General features: G+C 48.6%; 3 protein-coding genes across 4 annotated transcripts in view, besides 7 other annotated features; 1 reads left to right on the top strand and 2 right to left on the bottom strand.

Moving 5' to 3' along the window:
• Window positions 1–619: 619 nt before the first annotated feature.
• NGRN (neugrin, neurite outgrowth associated) lies at window positions 620–7,168 on the bottom strand. Of its 2 annotated transcripts, NM_001033088.3 has the most exons (3): window positions 6,955–7,159; window positions 6,433–6,543; window positions 620–1,643 (listed from the first exon to the last, which is right to left on the bottom strand). In NM_001033088.3, the coding sequence occupies exons 1-3, from the start codon at window positions 7,116–7,118 to the stop codon at window positions 1,043–1,045; spliced, it is 876 nt and encodes a 291-aa protein (NP_001028260.2). In that variant the 5' UTR covers window positions 7,119–7,159; the 3' UTR covers window positions 620–1,042. The 2 variants fall into 2 exon arrangements, 1 of the variants encoding a protein (NP_001028260.2); NR_028052.1 differs by having other exon boundaries at window positions 6,433–7,168.
• Window positions 6,205–7,175: an enhancer, noted in NCBI's record as "H3K27ac hESC enhancer chr15:90808888-90809858 (GRCh37/hg19 assembly coordinates)". NCBI's record gives its function as "activates a minimal SCP1, AML or CMV promoter by ChIP-STARR-seq in primed H9 embryonic stem cells {active_cell/tissue: H9 hESC(primed)}" and the evidence as "EXISTENCE:reporter gene assay evidence [ECO:0000049][PMID:30033119]".
• Window positions 6,205–7,198: a biological region, named in NCBI's record as "H3K27ac hESC enhancer GRCh37_chr15:90808888-90809858".
• Window positions 6,969–7,198: an enhancer, noted in NCBI's record as "active region_10072". NCBI's record gives its function as "activates an Ori minimal core promoter by ATAC-STARR-seq in GM12878 lymphoblastoid cells {active_cell/tissue: GM12878}" and the evidence as "EXISTENCE:reporter gene assay evidence [ECO:0000049][PMID:35858748]".
• CIB1 (calcium and integrin binding 1) overlaps window positions 7,072–26,118 on the top strand; it is a 35,785-nt gene continuing 16,738 nt past the window's right edge. Inside the window, exon 1 of the transcript NR_102428.1 lies at window positions 7,072–7,174. The gene's annotated coding sequence lies outside the window, so the exon portion shown is untranslated. The remainder of the gene's footprint in view (window positions 7,175–26,118) is intronic.
• Window positions 7,176–8,147: an enhancer, noted in NCBI's record as "H3K27ac hESC enhancer chr15:90807916-90808887 (GRCh37/hg19 assembly coordinates)". NCBI's record gives its function as "activates a minimal SCP1, AML or CMV promoter by ChIP-STARR-seq in primed H9 embryonic stem cells {active_cell/tissue: H9 hESC(primed)}" and the evidence as "EXISTENCE:reporter gene assay evidence [ECO:0000049][PMID:30033119]".
• TTLL13 (tubulin tyrosine ligase like 13) lies at window positions 7,354–23,275 on the bottom strand. The gene is made up of 15 exons (NM_001396017.1): window positions 23,023–23,275; window positions 21,944–22,211; window positions 21,237–21,277; window positions 19,464–19,582; window positions 16,946–17,076; window positions 16,534–16,690; window positions 15,550–15,693; window positions 15,109–15,194; window positions 14,562–14,793; window positions 13,904–14,088; window positions 10,640–10,825; window positions 10,162–10,339; window positions 9,686–9,865; window positions 8,773–8,884; window positions 7,354–8,111 (listed from the first exon to the last, which is right to left on the bottom strand). The coding sequence occupies exons 2-15, from the start codon at window positions 22,198–22,200 to the stop codon at window positions 7,864–7,866; spliced, it is 2,256 nt and encodes a 751-aa protein (NP_001382946.1). The 5' UTR covers window positions 22,201–22,211; window positions 23,023–23,275; the 3' UTR covers window positions 7,354–7,863.
• Window positions 7,559–7,688: an enhancer, noted in NCBI's record as "active region_10071". NCBI's record gives its function as "activates an Ori minimal core promoter by ATAC-STARR-seq in GM12878 lymphoblastoid cells {active_cell/tissue: GM12878}" and the evidence as "EXISTENCE:reporter gene assay evidence [ECO:0000049][PMID:35858748]".
• Window positions 12,993–13,222: an enhancer, noted in NCBI's record as "active region_10070". NCBI's record gives its function as "activates an Ori minimal core promoter by ATAC-STARR-seq in GM12878 lymphoblastoid cells {active_cell/tissue: GM12878}" and the evidence as "EXISTENCE:reporter gene assay evidence [ECO:0000049][PMID:35858748]".
• Window positions 13,243–13,292: an enhancer, noted in NCBI's record as "active region_10069". NCBI's record gives its function as "activates an Ori minimal core promoter by ATAC-STARR-seq in GM12878 lymphoblastoid cells {active_cell/tissue: GM12878}" and the evidence as "EXISTENCE:reporter gene assay evidence [ECO:0000049][PMID:35858748]".

Below are 26,118 nucleotides of genomic sequence, written 5' to 3'. Positions count from 1 at the left end.
CACTGCCACTTACTGGCAGCCATCTTAAAGTCTATTTCCTTATTTGTAAAAGGGACCTCTTAATCCGGGATTGCCTACACCATGGCACCATTGTAAAAATCTGGTTAAGTAAACTGTATAATGAGACATAATTGAAGATCGATTGATTTTATTTAGAGATGGGGGTCTCACTGTTATCCCAGGCTGGAGTGCAGTGGTGCAATCATAGCTCACTGCAGCCTCAACCTCCGAGGCTCAAGCGATTCTCCCACCTCGGCCTCCCAAGTAACTGGGACTGTAGGCACATTCTGCCATGCCCAGCTCTTAATATAAACTTTAAAATGTGGCTGGAGATTATAAGGGCCCTAAAGCCTTTGCCTGCTTTGTATTTTCTGCCAACCCCTCATTTCCCAATCTCTGCCAGAACCCCAGCAACTAAAAGAAAGGCGTCCAGTTTTCAGTTGTCAGAATCCCTCACTAAGCAGGATGCTCTGCACAGAGCCCTTTGCTGGGAAATTCCTCTGGTTCCATCTCTCTCCCAATGTTTACTGACCAGGGATCCTTCCTTTCTGCCTTTGTCCTTCCCTCTCTCCAAGGTTCACAGGTAAACCATCCCACCCCAAAGAGCACCAAAGAGGCAGACTGCTACATTTTACTTTATTTTGTTGTAAGGAAAACCAATTGACTAAGTTGTCCCCAAAATGTTAGTGTTCACTGATCAAGAAGGAAATGAGGTCAGAAGGCAAACTTTTCACTTCTTCTCAAACATAAATTGCAAGTATCACAGAAAATTGTAACAACACATGCAACACGGGATGGCTTTCAACACACAGAGAGCCTAAGCAAGAAGAGTGAGTACTGAAGGTCTACAGAGGTCAGACTGGGAGCACTACCACAGGAAGTTTGAATCTATCCACGCAGCTCTTTCCTCCCACAGTCCAGGCTCAACACCTCTTCCTATTCCAAGGTGGCTTATCCATATGCAGAAATCCAGGCTGTTCCATATACATTAATACTTGCCCAGCTGTGTTTCACGAGGCATCTCCATAAGCCAAGCCCCGACTCAAATTCTGTACAGGAAGTTCCCGTTGCTGTCAAAGAACTCTCGGCCCCTCTGCACTACTTTGCTGCTGAAGTTATCTGGCTCCTCTGCCTTCAACTCCTCCAGCTTCTGACCACTTGGCAACGCACCACTGCCAGTTCCTCTGGGGCTCTCAGAATCACTGGAGTACTTCTGCAGCTCTCTTGGATGACCTAGGGGTGCAGCAACAGGCACAAAGCTCTCCTCCAGGTCCTGGATTTCTTTATTTCTTCCCTTCCTTCTCCTTGGTGTATTTGTCCTGTGAGTGTCTGACTCTATCACTTTCAAAGCTGTGCTGTGATTTGGGTCTTTAGATGAGGCTTCATGCCCTGGCATAAGCAAAGAGCCTGATACAGAGTGGCCTGCAGGGAGCAGCTTTGAGGTATTTCCAGAGCCCCGGAGGTGCTGCAGCGAGTGGGCAAGCCCAGCTTTCTTAAGGACTTTTTGATCCTGCTTCAGCTTCTGCTCCAATGTGGGTAAAAACTTGCTTTTTAAAACTCTTCGGATCACATCAGTGCTGACATCAAAGCCTTCAGCCAACCTGGGAACTGACCAGGACTCTGGAAATTCCTCATGTAAATACCTACGGGAAGAAGGAGCAGGTTTGCAAGTTGTGAAGAAGTCTCCTATCAGAACATCTAACTCGCAATACCTATGATAAAGAAGAGGGGTTGAGGCCTGGCATGGTGGCTCACACCTGTAATCCCAGAACTCTGAGAGGCCGAGATAGGCGGATCACTTGAGCCCAGGAGTTCGAGACCAGTGATTCTTGTGCCTGAGCCTCCGAAGTAGCTGGGATTACAGGCATGAGCTACCACGTGGCACAAGAATCACTTGAACCTGGGAGGTGAAGGCTGCGGTGAGCCGAGATTGCACCACTGCACCACTGCACTCCAGCCTGGGCAACAGAGTGAGACTCTCCCAAAAAAACAAAAAAAGAGAGCTTGAAAAACCGCAAATGTAGTCCCTATCTTGTGCTAGCTAAATCTTGTGCTAGTCCCTATCTTGTGCTAGTTAAATGGCTGTGTTCCATTTCTGTGTGTCAACAGCAACACCTGACCACTGTCAGTCAGGTCACTTCATTTCACATCAACTCAGCTCCTCTCACTGACATCTAATACCACAATAGATCCTGGGGACGCAGGAGGACTGACCTTCCCATTACATAGTTTGGGAGTGGGGACAGACAAAATAAATGACATTATGGTAAAGGTTATAGCACAGGATGCAAAGACAGCACCCCAGGAGGGAGACCCAGATATAGGGAATAAGAACACTTATAGCCAGGCCCAGGAATTGCTTCATGAAGTCCAAGCTAGAGTTGGTCTGAAAGGATGAAAGGAGTAATAAGCTGGCAGAAGGGAGGAGAGAAGGAGAGATGAAAGATACTGATGATAAAGTGAAGAGCTTGTGAAATGTAAAGCGGCACATCACCTTTGTTGGGAATAACTCAACTGACAGTGAGGGTAAGAAGTAGATCACACTTAGGGGTCTGGAGTTTATCCCAAGGCAACAGCAAGTCAAGGAAAAATTTTAAGCAGTGGAATGCCACAGATAAATTTTCATTTTGAAGTTCAACCTACAGCCTGGCACAATGGCTCACTCCCAGCACTTTGAGAGGCTGAGGCAGGAGGATTGCTTGAGCCCAGGAGTTCGAGACCAGCCTGGGAAACAGGGAGATCCCATCTCTATTAAAAAAAGAAAAAAAGGAATTCAACCTAGTGGTAGTTTTTCAGTGACAAAAGTATAGGCAGAAAGATTGGTCAAGAGGCTTTTACAGTAATCCAGATAGTCTCGAGTGAGACAGTCAATGGAGCATAGGAGGAAAGTGAGTTGAGAAATATTTTAAGAAAGTCAAATAGTACAACTTGGTACTAAGGGACTAAATATTGGGGGAAGCATCATCAAGGCCAAGATGCAGGATTTTAGCTTGGGTAATCAGTAGGTTATAGGAAAAACAGGAACAGAATGAAGTTGTCAGGGAACAACGATGAATTCTATTTTGTACATGCTGAGTTTGAGGAAACTGTGATATCCAAAACAGAGATGTCTGGTACACAGTTGAATATATGCCTTTAGATTTCAGGAAAAAAAACATGAACTGGAGATGACAGATTTGGAAGTCATAAGCCAATAGCAGGGGTGACTGAGTGGCTAGCATCAGGCAGGGAAATATGCAGAGTGAACTAAAATGACAAGGACAGAACTCTATGAAATAACAATATTTAAGATATAGGAGGTAGAAGAGGAGCCCAGGAAGGAAACTGAGAAAAGCAGCCCTAGAAACAAAGAAAAAAAGATCAGAAGGGAATGGTACCCTGGAGTCAAGGGAGAAGAGAATTTTAAGAAAGCAGTTCACCATGGCACATGTACACCTATATAACAAACCTGCACATTCTGCACATGTACCCCAGAACTTAAAGTAAAATTAAAATAATAAAAATAAAAAAAGGCTGGGTATGGTGGCTCACGCCCGCCTGTAATCCCAGCACTTTTGGGAGGCTAAGGCAGGCAGATCACTTGAGGTCAGGAGTTCAAGACCAGCCTGGCCAACACGCTGAACCCAACCTCTACTAAAAATCCAAAAAAAAAAAAAAAAAAAAAAAAATTAGCCAGGTATAGTGGTGTGCACCTGTAATTCCATCTACTTGGAAGGCTGAGGCACGACAATCACTTGAACCCAGGAGGCAGAGGTTGCAGTGAGCCAAGATCATGCCACTGCACTCCAGCCTGGCAGCAGAATGAGACTCCGTCTCAAAAAAAAAAAAAAAAAAAAAAGAGAGAATCAGTGTCAATCAATAAATAAATAATGGGGGGGGGGGGGTGGGAGAAAGCAGTTTCAGCTGGGTGCAGTAGCTCACACCTGTAATCCTAACACTTTGGGAGGCCAAGGCAGGCAGATCGCTTGAGCTCAGAAACTGGAGACCAGGTTGGGCAACATGGCAAAATCCTGTCTTTATTTAAAATATATATATATATTTTAATTTAAAAGGCAGTTTTTACAAGGGCAAATGCTGCTGAATTATTTAGGACGCTAAGGACTACAAAGTGTCTTTTTGAGCCTAGCACTGAGGAAGTCACTGATGGATTTAAGGAGAGCAGTTTTATTGCAGTGATACAAACAAACAAAGGGTAGGCACCCTGGGAACCAGCTGGGAACAAAAGAATGAGAGAGAGCTTTAGGTTGAGGACAGAGGTCCTTGAGTAATCTTATGCAGGGAGAAATATGACCTAAAGCATACAGAGAATTGGTCCCAGACAAGTGAAGGGCTCCCATTTCCTCTGAAATGGGAGTAGAGTATAAGTTTGAGAGTAGTGGGCAAAGAGGAAGACCAGGAAGCTGAAAGTTTTTACTTAATGGACTGTTTTTTTTTTTTCCTCTTAAAAGGACATTTATTGACCACAATAAAGGGAGATAAGTAGGAAGGTGGAAGGTTTGAAAAAGCTATTGTTGAAGACAGGAGATAGAGGCCGGCATGGTGGCTCATGCCTGTAATCCCAGCACTTTGGGAGGCCGAGGTGGGTGGATCACCTGAGGTCAGGGGTTTGAGACCAGCCTGGCCAACATGGTGAAACTCTGTCTCTACTAAAAATACAAAAATTAGCCAGGTGTGGTGGTGCACGCCTGTAATCCCAGCTACTTGGGAGGCTGAGGTCCAAGAATCTCTTGAACCTGGAGGCAGAGGCTGCAGTGAGCTGAGATTTCGCCACTGCACTCTGGCCTGGGCGACAGAGTGAGACTGCCTCAAACAAAAAACAAACAAACAAACGAAAAAAAGAGGAGCTAGACCTGACTGAGGACTCAGAAGGTGCTACAGGCTCACAAAATCTTGAGCAGCTCTACAGAATCCCCTTTATTTTAAATTTCAATTCCAGAGTCATTCTGATGGAAATGAAAAATAGTACATAATCTATGTAGGGCTACTTAGCAATATTTATCAAATTGCAAATGCATTTGTCTTTTGACCTGGCAACCTTACTTCTGGGAATGTATATAACAAATATTCCTGGCAGGTATGCAGAATGATACACATACGTAGTTATTCACTGGGGCACTATTAGTGAGCAACAGAAATGGAAACAACCCAACTAAATGCCCACAATAAAAGACAGGTTAAATAATGCATTCTGGCCAGGCATGGTGGCTTACGCCTCTAATCCCAGCACTTTGGGAGGCCGAGATGGGAAGATCAGTTGAGGCCAGAAGTTTGAGACCAGCCTGGTCATCATAGTGAGACCCCCATCTCTGTCAAATAAATAAATAGGAGAAAAAATTGTTTAAATAAAAATTAAAAACCACTGTCATATACTGCCTCATATACTGCCTCAAAAAAATATAATAACACCATCTATAAAAAAAGAATTGAGGGCCAGGCGCAGTGGCTCACTCAGGGCACAGAGCCTAGTTTTTGGTAGAGAAAAACTATTAAAAATAGTACAGCTGCACACAGTGGCTCATGCCTGTAATCCCAACACTTTAGGAGGCTGAGGTGGGATGATCGCTTGAGCCCTGGGAATTGGAGACTAGCATGGGCAACATGATGAGGCTATCTCTACAAAAAATAAACAAAATTAACCAAGCATGGTGGCATGCACCTGTAGTCCCAGCTACTTGGGAGGACGAAGTGGGAGGATGGCTTGGGCCCAGGAGGTAGAGGCTGCAGTGACCGGTGATCACATCATTGTACTCCAGCCTTGGCGACAGAGTGAGACCCCCAACTACCAAAAAAAAAAAAAAAAAGTACCCACAGGAGAGTGGGTGGGACAAATAATTCTCAATGTGTATACCATGTTATACTGTTAGGTTGAGCCATATGTAATACTTTACCTACTCAAAACAAAAAAACTTAAAAACTCTTTTAAGCTTTCCTAAATTATAGATCCTGTCTTCAGAAAAATGCACCTACCTATGGAAGCACCAGCATCCCTGTACCTTAGGTTGGGAACGTCACAACCTACATTCAAGGGTTAAATGTTGTGATGTCTGCGATTTACTATTTAAAAATTTCAGTAAAAATGAACCAACCACGTCATAACGTTAAAAACTATTAAAACCAGGCGGGGCGCAGTGGCTCATGCCTGTAATCCCAGCACTCTGAGAGGCCGAGGCGGGAGAATCACTTGAGGTCTGGAGTTCGAGGCGATAGCGAAACCCCGTCTCTTTAAAAAACAAAACAAAACACTATTAAATCTAGATAATGACAGGGTTAGGGAAGTTCGTTATATTACTCTACTTTTCTGATAATAAATTTCAACGACAAAAAGTAAACGAAAATATAAAAGCAGTATCAAAAAAGCCAAACCCGTTTCTGGGCTCCAGCATCCTTCACTTCTCATCACAGCGGATACAAACAAGGTATCCTGAGTCTCACCGTATCTGCTCCATGGCTTCCCACGTCAGGGTCCTGGGCGGGGCACCAGGCGCCTCCATTTGCCTCCGAATTTTCTGGAATCGGATTGCTTGTTTCTGTCGTTTCAGGGTGCTGGGGGAAGAGAACCAATGGCAGAAGCCATGCGTGGAAGCAGAATGGATGTTTGAAGAGCCTCAGGCTAAATCATGGAGCGCCCAGCCCTCTTCTCTTTGATCGCAAGGGCAACCGGGCCATGTTGCCGGCTTAGAGCTGCTCCGTACACCCAGAAAGCTAACACCTAGAACAATAACTGCCTGTAAGCATGCCGAACTCTCTAAACTGATGATGAAATACGTCACTAATGAAGGGACCAGTGGTCCCAGGGGAGCTGAACACCTGACGCTGCGCCCCTAACAACGGGTAAGAAGAAACAAGGGCCGCTGCGCAAGCAGCGGCAGGACACCCGGCGCCAAGGGGGCGCGGCCTGGAGCGCCGGGGCACGAGGCCCTGCTTCAAGCTGAGGGCCCGGGGAGAAGCCGGTACCTCTCCACCTCCTGCAGCTCCCGTTCCTCCGGCTCCCAGTCGGAATCGGGGTCCGGCTCCCGGCCAATAGGGCCTGGGCCCGCCACCCCCCGGGTCGCGAACCCACAGCGAGTGACGGCGGCGCAAACGCGCCCGCCCAGCAAGAGACTCAGGGTAACCGCCATGTCGACGCAAACCAGCCTTCAGCAGTCGGCTACGAAACAGCAGCGGAAGTAGCCGGGTAAGACCGGAAGTGGAAGGGGCGGGCCGGAGGCTGGGTAGTAGCAAGTTATTTCCCGCTTCACTTGGTGGGGGTAAGATCTGGGCTCACGCTGCTCAGTGGCCCACCCTTTCTGCCTGTAACTGTGGAGAGGGCTTCCCTGAAACGTGAGGGCCGAAATGAGGTACAGGACGCTCCTGGAAAACTGCATAAACTTTAATTAAAGTACGGATTCCGTTTCCAAGAGCCGTCCCTCCGCCCCAGCGGCTGCCCAGGCCTGCCTGTCTCCGCCACCTCGGTGGGCAGGGCTTCCGCTCGGCAGTCTTCTGACGGCGACAGCCCAGTGCCTTGGGCACTCGGCTTCTCTGGGAAAGGGGCTCATTGTCTCCTGGATGGCCTCCAGCCCCGGGCCGCACCTAGGGTTCAGACCCATCACCTAGCGATAAACCCAGGCTAAGGCTTGATGAGCAGAAATGAGTACATGGCTGGCCTTGGCGCCTCTTCATCTTCTAGTCTTTACCGATCCCCAATTAATCTTAGGGTATTGAGGAATTCTTGGTGTCTTTGTATTTTGCCTTATACAAATGGGGTTCCTGGGCAGGGCTTTTCAAAGTGGAACTTGGTGGCAGTCATTCATTTAGCAAAGATTTAATGCCCTTTGGAAACCTGGGGAGGTTATCCAGGAGAGGTAGAGTGCTTCCCTCCTGCTTTTACCTGAACTGATTGATGTTGAGGAGTGCTCTGGAACGCTGCAGCATGGGTGCAGACGCAGGGCAGAGGGGAACCTTGGCTGCTCTGTGTTCAGAGTTTACCATGGAGGGCAAGGTGCATTCAGTCCATGAGTCAGATGCCACTCTTTCCGGTTGCAGAAAATAGCCCTGCTTTGGGGTTAAAGTGGGTGGCACTGATCCTGCCAGGACTCGGTTTATGGCTTCTAGCCTTCTGCTGGCTTGTCCTTCTGCAGTGGAAACATGGATGTCCCTGAGTTGGTATTCACAGAAGAGATTTGTTCACCTCTTTCCCAACTGTGGCCCAATTACCAACACAGAGGAAGGGCATCTCATGCTTCCCTCCACTGTCTTTCCCACACTGTATTGTAATTGGTATGGTATGTCTTTTTGTCCATGTTCCTATTACCTCTTGAGTGCTGGGACTGTATTTCTGCCATTTCTATCACCAGGGTCTAGTGTACAGAAAGGATTAAATAGGCCTGGTGCGGTGGCTTACACCTGTAATCCTAGCACTTTGGGAGACTGATTCAGGTGGATCAGGAGTTCAAGACCAGCCTGGGCTACGTGGCAAAAACAAAATATACAAAAGTTAGCCGAGCATGGTGGTGTGTGCCTATAGTCCCAGCTACTCAGGAGGCTGAGTCAGGAGAATTACTTGAGCCCGTGAGTGGAGTTTGCAGTGAAGTGAGATCAAGCCATTGTACTTCAGCCTTGGCGACAGAGCGTGACCTTGTCTCAAAAAAAAAGGAGTAAATAAATGGGTACCCTAACTTCCCCATTCTTACACTGGTGGAAGTGCCATATTATATTTTAGGGGCATCCAAGCTCTATGCTTGCTAGTGGGATTTACATATGTCAAAATGACCAAAGCTAGTTTTGCATACTTACGGCTAGTGAGCCTGATTCTGGCACTGGAAAAATAGCACCTCCCAGCCTTCTTCATTGACAATGAACAGGAGTTGATGGCTGCCGGCTCTCCTGTCCAGTTGAAGTTCTTGGGCTGCAGATGGTACCGGGGAACATGTGGGATTGCAGCATTCATGCTTGGCAGTGCCCCTAAGATCCTGGGGATTGATTCATGGGGCAGAACTGGATGCAGGAAATGAGGAGCGCCCTGCTCTGTGGCAGCCCCTCTTAGGAGCACCAGTAGGACCAGACTCATAGATTTCAGTTCTTGACTGCCCAGCCTGTCCTAGCAAAATCTAGGCTAGAGGAGAAGAGCAGCCCCTTACCACATTTTTATGTAAGTTTGGATGGAGCGTTGGAAGAAGGAGGTAACTGAAAAAAATCTCTTCTAGGCCGCGGCCACTATTTAACCAGATACTCCTTTGGGGTTCAACAAAAACAGAAGACCCAACAGGTTTGCTACCAGCCCAGGGAATAGTGAAAGCGGCAGCTCTTTTGTTGGCCCAAATCTGTTTACTTATCTCCCATTAGAGCTGGGGCACTGGCAGTGCTAGGGAGAAAATTATACAGAAGCCACTGAGGGTGGTGGGCTTGTTATTTGTCAGTCATGAGTGTGGGGTTATTTTGGGACAGGAATATAGAGAGCAAGTTTCCTGTAAATGAGAAGGTTTGGAGCTGCAACTTGCTGGATGTCATATCTAAAACAAAGGAGCTTGGGAACAGACGCAAAAGGAATCAACAGACCCTCTCCCAAGGTCCAGCTAGCGCACTCTGCTTTCCCAGGCTCCACTGACAGATACCATCACACAAGCCTCCTTTGTTGAGACCAACACCATGTCCTGGAATGACAGCCCTTGTTCCCTTTTCCTCTGGGAGACTTCACAGGGACCCTCACCCGACTCTCATGAAGTTTTTTCTGGCCCTGGGGGCCAGGGTGCTGCAGACGGGTGAGCTGCTCTACAATACCCAGGCTTCGGATGAGAGTCTCCCTTTGTAGCAGGGCCTTCATCCGCTCCAGCTCCTCCTCTTCCACAATTTCTTGAGGCCTCATGGTGTCCAGCTGTCCCGGCAGCAGCTACAAGGTACATGAGAGATAAATGCAGGATCTCCAAGGATAAGTCCCAAACCATCACCCAGGATGGCTACAGGCCTCCTGCCCACTCTACCCTCATCCCTTCCCTGACCCAGGAAGGTTCCTTTTGCTGTCCATTCTCTCACTTCATCTTCCAAAGGATCGGATTCAATTTACTGATTAGGAACTCCTCTCTCTCTTGTGCATGGGGAGGAGAAGACAGCAGAGATTCATTCCCCTATCTAGTTGTCCCAACCCATTTTCCTGTGGAAAGATAAGAGCTACAAAACCCCTGGCACCTCTTTCTCCCAGTTGCGGTTCCTGTAAGCCAAGTGGGTGGAAAGGCTCTGGAGCCCTGCCCTGGGTCGGCTTTTCTCCCCAGCTGATTCACCCTGGTTCTGGTCCCTGGCCTTTTGCCTCTTAGTGCCCGAGGTCTCCTGCTGTTCCTGCTTAAGGCGGATCTCCTCTAGTTGCTGCCTGACAAGACACAGCAGCTTCAGACAGTAGAGAAATGGTGTTGGGGAGAAGAGGGGTGAGGAAAAATGGGGATGAGGAAAGAGCAGGAAATTACAATCTGTTCTTAGGACTGATGCGAGAGCAATGAGAGGGGAAGATAGGAAACCTACTAAACTGAAAAGAGTCACTAAGAGTCTGATAGGATTTATAGCTCCATTCCTCTTTGCTGGTGTCTGGCTTCCTCTTTCCCTGCTGGGAAGCAATGCAGCTTCAGGACTTGTCCCCACCTAGGTGTGCAGAGGAGAATGTCGGTCAAAGTACCTGGCACACTCCTCTCTGGCCTTGGAAGCAGCAGTCTCTTGGAAGAGGGAGCCATTGTGCTTGAAGAAGCGGGCATACTTCTCTGTGTCAGGCCCAGGGTAGATCCGCCGGTATTTTCCCAGGTGAGAATCCTCATATCGTTCCTGGTCCAGCATTGCCACATGGGATGACTCAGTTTTTTCTTTCCTGTGGAAAGCAAGCTCAGTGAGTCAAGAGTAGGGCTGTGGGAATGTTCAGTAGGGAAAGGAAGACTGACTAAGGTTTGGAGACCCTCCTGCTGGCTTCTTGACCTCCTGGGCCCCTGCCCAAGTAGGGAAAGCTGCCAAGCCCATCTTTGGCTAGCCCCACATGTGGGTAGCCATGAAAATAGGCTTGACTTCCAGAAATCTGATTTGCTTTTCTTTTCTTTTTTGAGACAGGGTCTTGCACTGTTGCCCATGCTGGAGTGCACTGGCACAATCTCTGCTCACTGTAACCTCTGCCTCCCAGGTTTAAGCAGTTCTCCTGCCTCAGCCTCCCAAGTAGCTGGGATTACAGGCATGCACCACCATGCCTGGCCAATTTTTGTATTTTTAGTAGAGACAGGGTTTCACCACGTTGGCAAGGCCGGACCTCAAGTGATCCACCCACCTCGGCCTCCCAAAGTGCTGGGATTATAGGTGTGAGCCACCGTACTCGGCCTGATTTTCATCTTAAGTGGAGAGGGGTCTACTCGTAAGCTAGCAGTCCATTATCATAGTTTTTTAGGTTTCTGATTGTAAAAGTAACATATGTTTTGATATTAGCTTTCCATTTGAAAAAAAAAAAAAAAGTGGCCGGGCATGGTGGCTCACGCCTGTAATGCAAGCACTTTGGGAGGCCAAGGCGGGTGGATCACTTGAGGTTGGGAATTCGAGACCAGCCTGGCCAACATAGCGAAACCCTGTTTCTACTAAAAATACAAAAATTATCTGGGCTTGGTGGCGTGTGCCTGTAGTCCCAGCTACTTGGGAGGCTGAGGCAGGAAAATTTTTTGAACCCAGGAGGTGGAAGTTGCAGTGAGCCAAGATCGTGGCACTGCACTCCAGCCTAGATGACAGAGTGAGACTAGTCTCAAAAAAAAAAAAAAGAAAACAAGAAAAAAAGGTAATATACGTTCATTACAGAAAATTTAGAAGAGCAGAAAGAAGATAAAGCCTTCCATAATCTTACTATGCAATTAGCATGTTGATTATGAGCATGAATCTGAGGCAGGACCTCTTGACTTTGAATCCTGGCTCTGCCACTCACTAGCTTGTGCGTGCATGCGTGTGTCCTTCCTTCCTTCCTTCCTTTCTTTCTCTCTTTTTTTTTTTTTTTTTTGAGACAGAGTCCTGCTCTATCGCCCAGGCTGGAGTGCAGTGGCACAATCTCAGCTCACTGCAACCTCCGCCTCCTGGGTTCAAGCGATTCTCCTGCCTCAGCCTCCTGAGTAGCTGGGATTACAGGCATGCACCACCACGCCCAGCTAATTTTTGTATTTTTAGTAGAGATGGGGTTTCACCATGTTGGCCAGGATGGTCTTGATCTCTTGACCTCCTGATCCGCCCACCTCAGCCTCCCAAAGGGCTGAGATTACAGGCCTGAGTCACTGCACCTGGCCGCTTGCTTGCTTTCTTCAAATGAAAATGAAATAATGCAACAATATTTTTATTTTATTTTTTAATTTAATTTTTTGAAACAAGGTCTCACTCTATCGTCCAGGCTGGAGTGCAGTGATGCAGTCTCAGTTCGCTATAACCTCAGCCTCCCAGGCTGAAGCCATCCTCTCACCTCAGCCTCCTAAGTAGCTGGGACCATAGGCGCGCACCATTACGCTTGGCTAATTTTTGTATTTTTTGTAGAGACAGGGTTTTGCCTGTTGCCCAGGCTGGTCTCAAACTCGTGAGCTCAAGGGATCCACCCACCTCAGCCTCCCAAAATGCTGGGATTACAGGTGTGAGCCACCACACCTGGCCACAACAATATTTTTAAATGGCTGCCTAGTACTCTAGTGTACGATTGTATTTTGTTTATTTAGTCCAGTACTGTTCAACCATTTTTCCTTATTGAAAGACACATTTCATGACCCTCAGGTACACAGTCCAGTCTTGTGGGAATAGCCAGTATATTACAGTTCTACTTCACTCCCATTCATCACGCAGACATCTGAGTGCTTACGGTGTCCCAGGCCCTGTGGCTCTCGTGGGGAATCAAACACACACTGCCCCTGCATATTGGAATGTAAGTGGGAAGAGCAATGTGATCATAGTGATAACTATACATGTACTGAAATTCATTTGTATGTATCATTAACAAATTACAATTTTAGTATCGGTGACCAGTTACCATGTTTGTAACTCATTTTACAAAGAAAACAACAATGGGTGACCAACACGGATGTAAACGATTCTCTATTATTGAATGACTAAACTGTTTTCTGTGTTTCTTTATGACAAAGTTTCTCAGGAACTGGTTTCTAAAGGAGATTTGTTAGAAAAACAAACCAGCTAATCAAACCACAGAAAGTTCCTTATGTGCTAACATGAGAATGGCTCTAAAATACGTTGCTAACCAGGGTGCAGACAGTGTGAAAGTTATGCCTCTGTCTGAGTAGGCAGGGAGAAAAATATTTTGTATAAATACATATATATTAAATGCGTACTATATACATATGATAGTAGGAATGTTGATTGGCTCCAGAGAGGAAAACTGAGTACCTGGAGGAGAAGGGGAGGAGAAAGACTACCCTCTGTATTTTTAAAATTTTGAACTTATCTATGATATATGACTTTTTTTTTTTTTGAAACAGGGTCTCACTCTGTTGCCCAGGCTGGAGTGCAGTGGTGCAAACATGGCTCACTGCAGGCTTGACCTCCTGGGCTCAAGTAACCATCCCACCTCAGCCTCCTGAGTAGCTGGGAATACAGGCATGTCACCATGCCCAGCTAATTTTTTATTTTTTAATTATTATTCCTTTGTTTCTTTTTTGTGTTTTAGGGACAGAGTCTCACATGTTGCCCAGTCTGGTGTTGAACTCTAGGGCTCAAGCAATCCTCCTGCCTCAGCCTCCCAAAGTGCTGGGATTACAGATATGAGCCACCAAGCCTGGTCCTGTGATTTTTTTAATGCAAATATGAACATATTATCTATGCAAAAAGTTGTTTTTGATAGCAAATCAGCCCCAGGCCACATTCTTCATCTAAAGGAGGACTTTTACTCTCAGGAATAATGAAGAACTAAACACATGCCAGACACCTAGCACACCTAGATTCTCGTGGCTGTCGGTAGCACTGGAAAAGCCGTTCCTTGACTCGCCGCTTATCCTCCTCCATCACCTTCCTTTTGTCACAGCCCCGGAGGTTGACAAGGGTCATAGCATCACAGAGAAGTGCATCCTTTACTTCTTGATCAAGGCATGAGTCCGTGGTAAAGCTTGGAGAGTGGTTTACCTGCCAGGAGGAGTCATTATACACCCCTTTCCCAGACCACCTGAGCAGGTGGTGGCCTCTTGCAGGCATTAACTAGAGGGTCTAAGATATTCCTCTCCCATGGCCTCAGCCGGGGAGGCTGGATGCTCTGGCTTCCAAGGCCACAAAACTCTGCCATAGAGATCTCCAATTCACAGACCAGTGAGAGCAAATCAGCTGGCCTGCCTCTCTAGATAGTGTGTCCCTAAAGACTTACATTAGGGCACTGGGGATCCCAAACCTGCATTCCTACGGTAGAGGCCAAAAACCACCAAGATTTGACTCAGCAGGTCAAAAGGGTAGAGATCTTATGCCTTCTGCTCATTCCTGCCCACCCCAGGGCTTTCACATCTCCCATTCTGTGTTCCACCACCTGAGTGTACCCCTGTCCCAGGTGTCCTATTCAAGGAGGCCTCTGGACCTTGGTTTTGCAAAGCCTAGGAGATAATCCTCACCTCTAGCAGCCAGGGCTTCAACTTGTGGTCCAGCAAGATGTCAAAACCAAGGATTTCAAAACAGGCACATGTACCTCCATTCAGATACTGGGGAAAACAGGTTCGGTAGTTGTGGCGTAGAACAGAATGGGCTGAGATGATGGTTTTGATGATGATGTCCTCGATGTCCCCCCACAGCTCTCCAGGGTTGTAGCTGTGCTCTTGCAGCCAGATGTTGAGTGTCGACAGCTTCCTGCGAGGCCCAGTGCTCAGAGGAAGGCCAGTTTCTAGGCCACTGGGCCAGGCTGTAGGCAGGAGGCTCCCTCACACTAACGCTAATTGCATGCCCGGGCTTTGAAGGGCTGCTAGCAGTTTGGAGCAGGGACTAGTTATCAGGGTGAGGTTTGGGGCTGCACTTAGAGCTCCAAAGTGCAGGCACAGGACAGGGTCTATAAAGGCTGAGTTTCCCTGGGCAATTAGCCTCCCAAGAGCCAGCTTGGTTTCATGGGCTACTGGGACTGTGGGGCTAAGGGGCAGAGGAAGCAGGAGAAAACAGAGTAGGGAGTACCTCTTACTGCCCACAGCGCCATCCCGGACAAAATTCTCATTGTGTTTGTTGATAGCATAGTTGGTCAGGTGCATGCAGACATTGTCCTGTGGAAAGAGTGGCCCTGTGGTCTCAGACTGTCTGCATGCGGCCGTCCTCTCCAGCCCTTCATTACCTTGTTGCTCCCCACCCCTCCCGAGGATCTCTCGTCTCCTGTCTCTCTCCACCAGAGGACTGCTATTCTAGATGATCCTGGGGAAGAGTGTGTGCTGGGCTCCTCCGGGTGCTGACCTTTTCTCCTTCACCACCTACCAAACACTTGCCTCCCAGCTAGATGCTGCAGCTCTTGCTGGCTTCATTCCTTGTTCTTTGGTGACAGTGACAAACCTCTCTACCATGTTTCTCTAGAGAACCTCAGCACTTTTGGCAGTGGAAAAGAAGAGTGCTTCCCAGTCCCCTTACCAGGTTGTTATGGCTGGGCTCCATATAGGGCGTGGTGGCAAAACGGGCTAGGCCCTCCTCATATGTGAAGATCCGGAGAGGGTCACAGGATGTGATCAGGACGTAGACTCGCATATCAAACTTGAAGCCATCAATGAGGAGGGGCTGGGAGCATGCAAACCCATGAGGGAATAATAACACTTTTGAAGTGCCTACTATGTGCTGTTCTAAGTGCTTCACACACATAGCTAATTGAATTTCCACAATAACCATGTAAAATAGTTACTGTTATTACTCCCACTTAATAAATGAGGAGAGGCCAGGCATGGTGGCTCATGCCTGTAATCCCAGCGCTTTGAGAGGCTGAGGAGGGTGGATCACGAGTTCAGGAGTTCAAGACCAGCCTGGCCAAGATGGTGAAACCCCGTCTCTACTAAAAATACAAAAGTTAACTGGGCGTGGTGGCAGGTGCCTGTGATCCCAGCTACTCAGGAGGCTGAGGCAGAGAATTGCTTGAACCCGGGAGGCGGAGGTTGCAGGGAGCTGAGATCGTGCCGCTGCACTCCAGCCTGGGCAACACAGAGAGACTCCATCGAAAGAAAGAGAGAGAGAGGTAGAGAGAAAGAAGGAAGAAAGGAAGGGAAGGAAAGGGAGAAAGAAAGAAGGAAGGAAGGAAGGAAGGAAGGAAGGAAGGAAAGAAAGAAAGAAAGAAAGAAAGAAAGAAAGAAAGAAAGAAAGAAAGAAAGAAAGAAAGAAAAAGGAAGGAGACAGAGGCACAGAGAGAGGGTAAGAAACTTGCCCAAGGTCACATATCTGGGAAGTGGAAACTGAGATTCAACCCCAGGCAGGCTGGTTCTGAACCATGGCTGGATACTGCCTCCAGGAAAACGGGGCTAGTGGGAAGGGTAGAAGCCTAAGACCAGCTTCCTCCCTGGCTTTTGGGAGAGATGAGGCAGCCCAGTGCTGGGGACTAGGGAAGGCTGATGGTCCTGAGGCATCCTTCACCTTGGAGATGTATTGCTGGCAGATCATATGCTCTCCTGGCTTGATCTCCCGGGGATTTCGGGTAATGAAGATGCCACGTCCCTGACAGCCACTGTCTGGCTTGCAGATATATGTGCGGGCTTTTCGCTGACGACCGTAGGACTGGAAGTCCCCATAGCTATGTGCAGAGAGGGCCTGGTCAAAAGGTTTCTGTGCATCAAGGCTTTCCCGGGGCCGCATGGAGCTCTTCCTGCTATCTAGTCCATGCTCTTCCTGGAGCACTCAGTCTCAGACCCTCTTTTCTTTGACCAGCTGAAACTTTCTCATTCCACTTCCATCCCTCTGAGACATTCCTAGGTCACAAGACCAGAGCTCTGAGAGCGACCCTTTTCCTCCCCCTGGTATCTCAGCATGGGAAGCCAGACCCACTCACTCTGCGGGGAGGCACCAGGTGCGGGGGAAGATGTTGTACTCAGAGGGATAGAGTTTGTACATGCGGTTGAGGTTCCGAGCCAGCAGATCTTTGCGGCAGATTTCTGTCATGCCAGGGAAGTGGTTGATTTTCTGAAACACAGCCAGTTAGTATGAGCCCCCAGAGTAAGTGGCATTTCCTAGCACCTGGGCATCCCAGGAAGCAGTGGAGGAGGATTGGGAAGGTTAAGGGAGAAGTCACAGTGGAGGTAAGCACTGCACCAAGGACCCCAAGGGCAAACATAGGAAGGTTCCTTAAGGCAGGTGAGAAAACCCTCTGTGACTCCTACCCAACACACACATCCACACTGAGCTCAGCAAATGAGGGGCAGTGAGAAGGAATGTAACTAGCCAAGACTGTGGCTTCCACAGTCCACCTTCTAACACCCCTCAGACCACCAGGCCTAGTCCTCTAACAATAACTAATGCATGATAGCACAAAGCAGACAATGAGACGAAAGCATTCCCCAAAAGACACAAAAGATAAAAGGAAACTAAGAACCAGCCCCAAGGAATGTGATGCCATGGCACCCACTGAGGGCATGGCATCACCCTGGTGCCTGCCAGAAACCCCTGGCTGCTCTGTCCTGCTGGATGGGTGGCAGCATCCGGGATGCCACCAAGTAAAGAACAAATAATGAGATAGGATGTACCCACCAGACACTTCCTTCAGGTAATTCCAGAGACCCAGGAGGAGAATCTTTCCGTTGGAAAAGAATACCCTGGGGATGGTCTTTCCTGTCTGCACAGGGGGACAGCCACAAAGAGTATGCTAAGTGCTCTCCACTGGGTTTCCCCATCACTGGCCGCACTCACTGTATGAACTTAGTATTTCTGACCCTCCATGTCCTAACCAAGGGATATCTGCTGCTCAGGGCTGTTCTTGAGGATTTAATGGGGTAATACTATAAAAGCACTTAACACGGAGTCTGTTGTACAGTAAGCCCTCAGTAAATGCTGCTGATTATTGTTATCCTTATCCTTTTTTTTTCCCCCTTCCCTGAGACAGGGTCTCCCTCTGTCGCCCAGGCTGGAGTGCAGTGGTGTGATCTCAGCTCACTGCGGCCTCTGCCTCCCAGGCTCAAGAGATCCTCCTGCCTCAGCCTCCCAAGTGGCTGGGACTAAAGCATGCACCACTACGCCTGGCTAATATTTTTTTATTTTTGTATTTTTGGTAGAGATGGGGTTTTGCCTGTTGCCCAGGCTGGTCTCAAAGTCCTGAGTTCAAGCAATCTGCCCACCTTGGCTTCCCAAAGGGATTTCAGGCACGAGAGCCACCGTCCACCGTGCCCAGCCTGCATTCCTCATTTTACAAATGCCCCTCCTTTGGAGCGTCCTTTTTTTTTTTTTTTTTTTAGATGGAGTCTCACTCTGTCACCCAGGCTGGAGTGCAATGACACAATCTTGGCTCACTGCAACCTCCGCCTCCTGGGTTCAAGTGATTCTCCTGCCTCAGCCTCCTAAATAGCTGGGATTACAAGTGTGCGCCACCATGCCTGGTTAATTTTTGTATTTTTAGTAGAGATGGGGTTTTACCCTGTTGGTCAGGCTGGTCTTGAACTCCTGACCTCATGATCCGCCCGCCTCGGCCTCCCAAAGAGTTGGGATTACAGGCGTGAGCCACTGTGCCCAGCCTTTTTTTTTTAAAAAAAAAAAAAACAGGGTCTCACTCTGTCACACAGGCTGGAGTGTAGTGGCATGATCTCTGCTCACTGCAACCTCCACCTCCTGGGTTCAAGTGAACTCCTGACCTGAATTGATCCACCTGCCTTGGCCTCCCAAAGTGGTGGGATTACAGGTGTGAGCCACCACACCCAACCTCCTCTGGAGCTTCTTGAGAACTTCTAGCACTTGCTTTCTCTCTTGGGCACCTCTCCCAAGACTAGTTGTGGGACAGGTTTTAATTTCCTCAACTTCCTGCCTGGCTTCCCCAAAGAATAAGCCTGCAGACTCTTTTAAATTATTTTATTGCTGATCACCACAAACGCCCAATTAGAGGATAATAAAAATGTCACAAGGCAGTTCTATTCTTGTGGACCCCGGTGGATCATTCCTGAATTTCTTGCCACCAGGCAGGACCCCGCAGTCTCCTAATGGATGTGGAATGCTAAACTAAGTTGCTTAGAAGGCTGGATCATTCAACTGGCCCTGCTGTTAGCTCTGAAGCTGCCTCCCAGTATTCTCCCTAAGATGTGCTCACCCACCCTGGAGAGGGCCAGCTACACACAGATGCCACCAAGCAAAGTGCAAATCATGAGATAGGATGTGCCCACCAGAAACTTCCTTTGGGTAATTCCAGAAACCCACAATCTCCAAGAGGAGATCTTTCCATTGGAAAAGAAGACCCTGGGGGTGGTCTTTCTTGTCTGCACAAGGGGACAGCCACAAAGAGTAGCAGTCTTGGGTGCCTGGGCAAGGAGGTGGGAATAGTCATTCTGGGGCCCTAGCCCCTGTCGGCTCTCAGGTCAGGAGATGGGTACCTGAAACCTCTTCATGTCCATGACTCGTTCCAGTGAGACAGCGCAGTCTGTCCAGTACAGAGTCCACTCTTCATCCTCCCCCACCTCCTTCAGGCCACACATTTGGGCTGCCCGACGCACTGCAGAGACAGGGAGATCAGTAGTGCCAGCATGGACACCAGCAACAAGCCCTGGAACTGTGTAGCTGGGTCAGGTAAGGTATACACCTGACCCGAGGGCAGGTTGAAGAGGGAGGTAGTTCTTGCCTCAGCCCTGTACTTTAGTTACCACATGACAATTTCAAGTTCTTAGGGGCTGTCAGGGCCCTTCCAAAATACCTAGCAGAGAAAACTAGAACCTGGTTTTTTGTTTGTTTGTTTGTTTGTTTTTTAGAGACGGAGTTTCGCCCTTGTGCTGGAGTGCAGTGGCACGGTCTTGGCTCACTGCAACCTCCGCCTCCCAGGTTCAAGAGATTCTCGTGCCTCAGCGTCCCCAATAGCTGGGACTACAGGCGCCCACCACCACACCTGGGTAATTTTTGTATTTTTAGTAGAGACGGGGTTTTACCATGTTGGCCAGTCTGGTCTCGAACTCCTGACCTCAGGAGATTCGCCTGCCTTGGCCTCCCAAAGTGTTGGGATTACAGGCATGAGCCACCGTGCCCAGCTGCTCCTGTCAGTCTTATCTCTCAATCAGGGATGTTTATGGCTTGGAGAGCTGCCTATAGGTGGGGTCACACTGGCACTTCACACTCCATACTTGTGTGGTTCCTTATAAAGATGCCAGAGGGAATATTAGGGGAAGGACCTAGCTGGAGATTGTTTTTTTTCTTAATCGTTGAAGTCCCTTCAAATCTTCCTTGAAAAAACTGTTTTAAGCTTGTCTCATCTCTGGTAAAATCTGGGAAGGGTCTGGCATGGTGGCTCCTGCCTGTTATCCTAGGCCTTTGAGAAGCTGAAGTGGGAGGATCACTTGAGCCCAGGAGTTCAAGACCAGCCTGGGCAACATAGCAAGACTCTGTCTCTACAAAACATTTAAGAATTAGCTGGGCAGGCTGGGCATGGTGGCTCATGCCTGTAATCCCAGCACTTTGGGAGGCTGAGGTGGGTGGATCACCTGAGGTCAGGAGTTCAAGACCAGCCTGGCCAACATGGAGAAACTCTGTCTACTAAAAGTACAAAATTAGCCAGATGTGGTGGCACATGCCTGTAATCCCAGCTATTTGGGAGGCTGAGGCAGGAGAATCGCTTGAACCTGGGTGGTGGAGGTTGCAGTGAGTCGAGATCACGCCATTGCATTCCAGCCTGGGCAACAAGAGCAAAACTCGGTCTCAAAAAAAAAAAAAGAATTAGGTGAGCATAGTGGTGCAGGCCTGTAGTCCCAGCTACTGGGAAGCTCAGATAGGAAGACGGCTTGAGCTCGGGAGTTCAAGGCTGCATTAAGCTATGATTGCAATACTGCACTCCAGCCTGGATGACAAAGCGAGACTCTGTCTCAAAAATAAATAAATAAAATCTGGGAAGGGTGGGGCAGTAGTGGCTCTTGGACTTTTTTTTTTTTTTTTCTTGTTTACTGTGAGGATACCCTCCCTAACACTGAGACTACCTGGAATGGCAATGTCTCAGCTTCCAGTGTCTGAGGCAGAGGACACCTAGGAAGCTCAGTACAGGTTAGAGGCAAGCCCGCCAGGCCCCAGGGGCTGGAAGCCTGATCGGGGGTCCATTCCAGAGGAAGAACAGCAGCTGTAGGCACCATGTTATGCACCACAGTGTGAGCGACGGGCTGGGTGCTTACCACTCTCATACTTGCAGTTGGTCAGGTTGATGGCCAGTGATCTGGAATGGAGGAATAGCATAAATCAGGAAGAGTGGGAGGGAAGGACAGGTACTCAGATGAAAAGACATCCAACAAATTCACAACACAATTCCTTTTCTCTAGAAGCCACTTAAAAGACAGACCAGGATGGGCTGGGCGCGGTGGCTCATGCCTGTAATCCCAGCACTTTGGGAGGCCGAGGCGGGTGGATCACAAGGTCAGGAGATAGAGACCATCCTGGCTAACACAATGAAACCCTGTCTCTACTAAAAATACAAAAAAAAAAAAAAAAATTTGCCATGCGTGGTGGCAGGTGCCTGTAGTCCCAGCTACTCGGGAGGCTGAGGCAGGAGAATGGCCTGAACCCGGGAGGCGGAGCTTGCCGTGAGCCGAGATCACGCCACTGTACTCCAGCCTGGGCGACAGAGCGAGACTCTGTCTCAAAAAAAAAAAAAAAAAGACAGACCAGGATGACATAAACAGGCTGGGATTCCAAAATGAGCCAGCCTAAATGGTTCTGAATTTTGTTTCTGTTGTATCAAAGGGTTAATGACACTCCAGCATTTCCTGTCCTCTTTTGTAGGCTAAAGGGAAGATCTGAGATCCCAGCTCCTCCAGATGTTGAAGGGAGGCCAATGGGTGACTCCCTGGAGCTGGGCAGTTGAGGGGATCTAGGGAATAGTTACCTGCGTTTCCGCCTTCTCTTCCTCCTCCCAGCTTCTAAGTCGCCTGTGTCAACTGGGGCTATGACTTTCTTCGGAATTTTTGTGGCCATAATGGGTGAGGGAACCCCATTTTTTAATGCCTTATAGTCAGCTTTTAAGAGAGCCTGCTGTGAAGAGTTAGAGGGGTTGGTAACTCCCTCTTTAACACACTTCTCAGATTCCTTTTCCTCAACATAGTCTTCCTCTGATTCCATGGTCCTACAGGTACTCGGCTCCATTCTCTCAGATTCTGAGGGGTTGCGGGGTGGGAATGAAGTGTATATCAGACCTCAGACCTCCCTCAGGCCCTAGAAGGCCTGAAGGAATCCACCAGAACGACCTTCATGCTGTTATAAGGGAAAGTTGCTGCCCCTTCAGGACAAAACTGTTTCACTGAGGAATGGGATGTGTCCAGGTAGGTGGAGGTGCATGGGGGTGGAAGACACCAGTGAGATGTGGATTCCCTGATGACAAGCCCCAATCATCCAGGTTCACACTGGATCATACAACGCACAGGGGTGCCTTCAGGAGTTGGACACAGATGGTATGGGCCATGACCATGGCTCTTTTGTTCCTAATTGGGAAAGAGGATGGCTGTGAGTGCTGGGGGGACCTTCGCTTTAAAATACAGCTGAATCGGCCCAGCACGTTGGGAGGCTGAGGCGGGCAGATCACTTGAGGTCTGGAGTTGGAGAGCAGCCTGGCTAGCACGGTGAAATCCCGTCTCTCCTAAAAATACAAAAATTAGCTGGGTGTGCTGGTGCGTTGCCTGTAATCCCAGCTACTCGGGAGGCTGAGGGAGGAGAATCACTTGAACCTGGGAGGTGGAGGTTGCAGTGAGCCGAGATCACACCACTGCACTCCAGCCTGGGCGACAGAGCAAGAGTCTGTCTCTAAATAAATAAATAAATAAATAAATAAAATAAAATACAGCTGAAGACCAAAAGCCCCCTACGCTGGCCCTTTCCCTCTCCCAGGACTCATTTTCTGCACGTGTACACACTAGGGACAGGCACCCGATGGCTAAGACCCTTTGGGCTGTGACGGTGGAGACTGCCCACCCGTGGTTACGAGGAGAGCTGAGGGGCTGCTGGGTCCGCCCCTAGCCGCCTGGGGATGGACTCAGCTGGCCGCTCATGTCCCCTCTTCCCCCGGCTCCAGGTCTCCCTGGGCGTTTCTGGGCGTCCGGAACCGCCTCCTCGTTTCACAGGACTGGCTGTCCCCACGATCGCGAGGGGGAAGCTGCTCCCCCGCAGGGGTTCACTCCTAGCTCCCGGTGGCCGTGGCTGCGGCTGCCGGGGCAGCGCTTCCTCTAGCAAGCCCGTGGCCGCCGCCGTTGCCATGGACACGAGGGCAGTTCCCATTGGAGAAGCGTCCTGGGGGCGGGGCTTTCCCGCAGCCACACCCACTTGGGCGCGGGCCGAGGCTACCTTGGGTGGGGGAGACAGCGTTTGCCCTTTGGAGCTGGCCGGCCTCGACGCCAGATTCTTCCGGTGTATCATGGGACTTGCAGCCCTCCCGCTTCGAAGCCAGTTCTCGCCGCACTCCCATCTTTCCCTAAACCCCGGGCCAAGGAATTTGGCCAAGCATATAATGAGGACAAATAGCTGTTTGCCTCTCCTCAATTCTCCCTTTTTTTTTTTTTTTTTTTTTTTGAGACGGGGTCTTGCTGTGTCGCCCAGGCTGGAGTGCAGTGGAATGCACCATCATAGCTCACTGCAGCCTGGACCTCCTGGGCTCAAGCAATCCTCCTGCCTCAGCCTCCCCAGTAGCTGTGACTACAGGAGCGTGCCACCACGCCGGGCTCAATTCTTTAGTAACTCTAAGTTTAGCTAGCAAAGCCTATGCATTCAAGAGTGACAGCCATGGTAAGGCCACGTGCCTTTCAAGGCTTTGCCTCTGGTGGACTGAGACAGCTCCATTAAGGAATAACCAAACCGCCTTATCACAGTGCTCCTTCACTGTCACCTTCTCTTCCTGACATCCACCCACTTTGATTTCTGCTCACCACCTCCACCCAACTCAGCTCAACTTGTCACCCTAAAATTATACTGTGTGGCTAAATCTAGAGAACACTTAAAATGTTTCCATCCTTTTAAAAAGACATGGACTTTTTTTTTTTTTTTTTTTTTTTTTTTTTTTTTTTTTTTTGAGACAGGGTCTTGCTTTGTAGCCCAGGCTGGATTGCAGTGGTGTGATCGCAGCTCACTGCAACTTTACTTAGCTTCCCAGGCTCAAGCAATCCTCCCACTTCAGCGTCCCAAGTAGCTGGGGCTACAGGTGCGCACCACCATGCCTGGCTAATTTTTGTATTTTTTGTAGAGATGGGGTTTTGCTGTGTTGGCCAGGCTGATCTTGAACTCCTGACCTCAAGTGACCTGCCCACCTTGGCTTCCCAAAGTGGTGGGATTACAGGCATGAACCACTGAACTCGGCCTAAAAAAGGCATGGACATTCTCTAATTCATAGACTGTTTTTGTTGTTGTTAATTGTCTATAAAGATAAGCTATTTCTTTGCCCACATATTCATGTTTCATAGTTCAGGAACATAGGTTAGTGATAAACTTCTATGTAATGCAACCCAAAGAAACTGTTTATACCAAAATCACTTTGCACTTTGAAAGATACCAGCCTTCCTCATCTCCTCAAAATCTTTCATAGAATCAGCAAGGCTAGGTGGCAGGCCCTGTAGTCCCAGCTACTAGGAAGACTGAGGTGTGAGGATCTCTTGAGCATGGGAGTTAAGAGGATGCCGTGAGCTATGATTATGCCACTGCACTTCAGCTTGGGTGACAGAGTGAGAACTCGTATTTAAAAAAACAAATATCTGGCCGGGTGTGATGGCTCACGCCTGTAATCCCAGCACTTTGGGAGGCCAAGGTGGGCGGATCACCAGGTCACGAGATCAAGACCATCCTGGCTAACACGGTGAAACCCCCTCTCTACTAAAAATAAAAAAATAAAAAAATAAAAATTAGCTGGGCATGGTGGCGGGCGCCTGTAGTCCCAGCTACTTGGAAGGCTGAGGCAGGAGAATGGTGTGAATCCGGAGCTTGCAGTGAACGGAGATCGCGCCACTGCACTCCAGCCTGGGCGACAGAGGGAGTCTCTGTCTCAAAAAAAAAAAGCAAACAAAAAAATCTTTGATGGAATTATAATTTCTCTAGAAATCTGCATATGCCTTCTTTCCCGGTTCAGCCACAGCAAATGTATAGAGTGCTACAACCCTCTATACAGGGATACAGCAATGTGAAACCAGAGGTCATGCATCTGAGGTTTCATCAAAACACTGGAAGCCATGGTAGTTATTGTCCTTGATAGGTATGTCAACCTCAACACCAATGTCCTTCCTGGCTGATGGAGAAATGGGCTGCCCGATTCACAGACTTCTTGATCTTTCCTCAGCATATGATACTCTCATATGAAACTCTCCTCCTGGCTAGGAGTGGCAGCCTACATCGCTAATCCCAGCACCTTGGGAAGCTGAGGCAGGAGGATTACTGGAGGCCAGGAGTTTGAGACCAGGCTGGGCAATACAGCGAGACTCTCTCTCTTAAAAAAAAAAAAAAAAGAAAAAAGAAAAGAAAAGAAAAAAAAGGCCAGTGTGGTGACTCATGGCTGTAATCCCAGCACTTTGGGAGGCTGAGGCAGGTGGATCACGAGGTCAGGAGTTCGAGACCAGCCTGGCCAATATGGTGAAACCCTGTCTCTACTAAAAATACAAAAATTAGCTGGGCATGGTGGCGCACGCCTGTAGTCTCAGCTATTCAGGAGGCCTAGGCAGGAGAATTGCTTGAATCCAGGACGCAGAGGTTGCAGTGAGCCAAGATCGTGCCACTGCACTCCAGCCTGGATGACACAGTGAGACTCCGTCTCAAAAGAAAAAAAAAAAAGGAAAGAAAGAAATGGTCCTCCTGGAAATGTTCTGCAGTCCCTTGACTTCCAGGACACTCATTGCATCAACAAACAATTTAGTGTTCTAGGGACTATTCTAGGACCTCGACCACCATTTCTTGCCTGAATTGCCACAATTCAGCAATTTTTTTTTTTTTTTTTTTTTTTTTTTTTTTTTTTTTTTTTTTGAGACAGAGTCTCACTCTGTTGCCCAGGCTGGAGTGCAATGGCTCAATCTCGGGTCACTGCACCCTCTGCCTCCC

The sequence above is a fragment of the Homo sapiens genome, chromosome 15 (assembly GCF_000001405.40).
Source record: "Homo sapiens chromosome 15, GRCh38.p14 Primary Assembly".
In the NCBI taxonomy this organism is placed as follows: domain Eukaryota; kingdom Metazoa; phylum Chordata; class Mammalia; order Primates; family Hominidae; genus Homo; species Homo sapiens.
This window is presented reverse-complemented; position numbering and strand designations above follow the sequence as displayed.